This window comes from Homo sapiens, chromosome 15 (assembly GCF_000001405.40).
Source record: "Homo sapiens chromosome 15, GRCh38.p14 Primary Assembly".
NCBI lineage: Eukaryota > Metazoa > Chordata > Mammalia > Primates > Hominidae > Homo > Homo sapiens.
This window is the reverse complement of record NC_000015.10, coordinates 73,011,999-73,015,537: the sequence shown is the minus strand read 5'-3', so window position 1 is coordinate 73,015,537 and position 3,539 is coordinate 73,011,999. Positions and strand designations below refer to the sequence as shown.

General features: G+C 44.3%; 1 annotated feature.

The window, feature by feature from the left end:
• Nucleotides 3,084-3,299: a silencer, noted in NCBI's record as "fragment chr15:73304580-73304795 (GRCh37/hg19 assembly coordinates)". NCBI's record gives its function as "represses an EF-1alpha promoter that drives an FKBP-Casp9 reporter gene in an ReSE screen in K562 erythroleukemia cells {active_cell/tissue: K562}" and the evidence as "EXISTENCE:reporter gene assay evidence [ECO:0000049][PMID:32094911]".

Sequence of the window (3,539 nt, the reverse complement as noted above, 5' to 3'; positions counted from 1 at the left end):
AGTAAAAATACAAAACAAGCCAGGCGTGGTGGTACATACCTGTAATCCCAGCTACTCAGGAGGTTGAGGCAGGAGAATCCCTTGAACCTGGGAGACAGAGGTTGCAGTGAGCCAAGATTGTGCCACTGCACTCCAGCCTGGGCAACAAGAGCGAGACTCCATTTCAAAAAATAGAGTCCCCTTGTTCTATTGCAAAGTGGGGGGAATAACTATCTTTGCAGCTTACACTGTTGCCATGTTTTAGTCTTCCTTACTGGCTAGAAATGGGTAATTGACTTAAACTGAGCCAGTCAGGGCTCTTCCCTGGAATGTTTGAACTCAAGGAGCTCTAATCTCTAGAGTGGTAAATCTAGTAGATGTAAACTTGGGAGTTGCTGGGTACTAAATTTCTAGAACTGGTTTGAGACAAGGAAGCCAGCTTGCAGAGAGAAGTACAGACCTGATTTCAGGCCCAGTTTACCCTGCCCTGCCTATGGTTTGTAGAAATGAGTCAAGTTTGCTCAAGCTAATTTAATTTGGAGTGCTGCTACTTGTAAAGCAAAGTATACTCATCACACTGTGACACTCCTCTTTCATTGTTTATACCCATTCCTCTCCAAAGCTGAGTCCATGGTGCGTTGAGATGGGAGATAAACCCAGGTGATAGACTCCACACTGCACCCTCACTCACCATCTCCACTGACGAAATCTTTGGTCTTGGGGTAAGATGCCTTGTGATTCCTTCCTTGGATATCTGCCTGACCTTCATCACTGTACAGCTCAGTACATCCTCTCTCTTACTTGAACTGTACTTTTCTCCTCTTCCTCTCAACCCTCTTCTCTTTTACTTCAGAGTTCTCATTCCATAATTACTAAATACCTCTCTATCTTCCACATTTTCATGGAACACTTCCCCTATCGTCAGTCTTAACTGGTACCAAGGACATCACTTCCTCTGCTGACCCCCTTAACAGAGGCTGCTCATTTTTGTATGCTTCATGGATTTCAGGCTCAGAAATTGGCATCTTGTCCTCCTTGCTCCAAAATACCACTTCTAGACCATTATCTCCTTACTCTGTTGTGAAAATAAAAAGCCCCTTTTTGGCTGGGCGTGGTGGCTCACGCCTGTAATCCCAGCACTTTGGGAGGCCGAGGCGGGCAGATCACAAGGTCAGGAGATCGAGACCATCCTGGCTAACACAGCGAAACCCCGTCTCTACTAAAAATACAAAAAAAATTAGCCAGGCGTGGTGGCAGGCACCTGTAGTCCCAGCTACTCGGGAGGTTGAGGCAGGAGAATGGCGTGAACCCGGGAGGCAGAGCTTACGGTGAGCCGAGATCACGCCACTGCACTTCAGCCTGGGCGACAGAGAGAGACTCCATCTCAAAAAAAAAAAAAAAAAGCCCCTTTTTAAGCTCCATCACTCTCTCCTCACCTCGATGCTCCCCTTTACAGCCCTCCTAGTATCTTCCTTGCATTCACTGGTGACATTTGCACCTGACTCACAGCCTCCATCACTATCCAATGCATGCTATCATCCTGGGGGACTTCACAGTCCACCTTAACAGCCATCCAAAAATCTCAGACTCTTGGTCGCTGACTTCCTCGTTGTCAAAGGCCTTGCCTCGCAAACCACCCCAGCCATCTTCTCCCACCCTTTCAACTCGGAACCTGTTGTTTTTCAGAAAAGATGCCATTGTCCATGCTACTAATTTCAACATCCTGCTATCCAACCACAGCCTCTTATTTTTCCAGCTTGCTCATTTAATGACTCCCGTGAAATCTGCCCTTCAACAATAATGGGGCTACATTGCAGCTACTCCTGTGACCTTCCTGCTTTTTCCTTGCCTATAAGCTCCTTCAGTTGAAAGAGCATTCAGCTTCCAGGAACATTAGTGTCGGAAGAGCTGTCTAGTGCTAGAGGTGGCGTGGTGCCTTGTCCAGCAGATAGCTACATTTGATTTCCACTCATCTTTGACACCACTGAGAAGGCTTTCTAGGCTTTGCCAACATAATAAATACTCTCCACTGGTTATTTGATTTTTTTGATTTATTTTTTATTTTTACTTTTTTAGAGACAGGGTCTTGCTCTGTCTCCCACTCTTGAAGTTCAGTGGCGTGATCATAGCTCACTGTAACCTCAAACTCCTGGACTCAAAAGATCCTCCTGTCTCAGCTTTGAGAGTTTATTTTTGTAGAAACCAGGTCTTGCTATGTTGCCCAGGCTGGTCTTGTACTCCTGGCCTGAAGTGATCCTTGCGCCTCCACCTACCAAAGTACTGGGATTACAGGCATGAGCCACGGTGCCCAGCCTGATTATTCATTTTGTATATCTGAATACTAGTAAGGCTAAACATATTTTTGTATAACTATTGGTCATTTATATTCTCTTGGGAATTGTCTGTTAATGTCCTTTGCCAATATTCATATTTGGGTGCTAATCTTTCCTTATCAATTCGTAGAACTCTTTATATATTAAGGATATTAGTTCCTTGTCATATGTGTTGTAAACACATATTTGCCTTTTAATTTTGATTATGGAGTGCTTTCCCTTTTCAAAAATTTTTAATTTTAGTAATCTACCCTAGCAGTCTTTTATTTATGGTTTTTGTCTTTGGTGGCAAGCTTCAAAAAGAACTTCCTCATCTTTTCTTCAAGTTTTTGCATTCTTAATTTGTAATCTCTCAGGAATTTAACACCGACAAGTACAATATGGGTCTAGCCTTTTTTTCCCGTGAAAATCGCCATCAAGCCAGGCATGATGGCGGGCACCTGTAATCCCAGCTCTCTGGAGGCTGAGGCAGGAGAATCACTTGAACCTGGGAGGCAGAGCTTGCAGTGCCACTGCACTGCACTCCAGCCTGGGCAACAGAGGGAGACTCTGTCTCGGAGAGGAGAGGAGAAGGGAGGTGAGGGAGGGAGGGAAGGGGAGAGGGAGCCAGCAAGTTTTCTCAACATCATTTATTGACTATCATCTGATGTCCATTAATTTGAATTCTATTCCACTGATGTGTCTTTCTTTATGCCAGTACAATGCTGTTTACCCACCACACCCAGGTAATGTTTGTATTTTTTGTAGAGACGGAGTTTTGCCATGTTGCCCAGGCTGGTTTTGAACTTCTGAGCTCAAGTGATTTCTGCCTCGGCCTCTCGAAGTGCTGGGATTACAGGCATGAGCCACCATGTCTGGCCTCTGTTTTAATTTCTATAGCTTTATAAAATGTTTTAATATCTCTTAGCAAGACTCCATCTCCAAATAAATAAATAATAATAAAAAGTTTCTCTCATCACCAAGACAGTATGGTTCCCAATTAGGCAAGTGTTTTCTCACACATCCTAAGTAAATTTTTTGTTTTCTCCACAGAAATTAAGTGTATAAGTTTATTTGTCAGCCAGGCACGGTGGCTCACGCCTGTAATCCCAGCTTTTTGGGAGGCCGAGGTGGGTGGACCACTTGAGGGCAGGAGTTCAAGACCAGCCTGGCCAACATCTATCTCTACTAAAAATACAAAATCCATCTCTACTAAAAATACAAAAATCAGCCGGGTGTGGTGGTGCA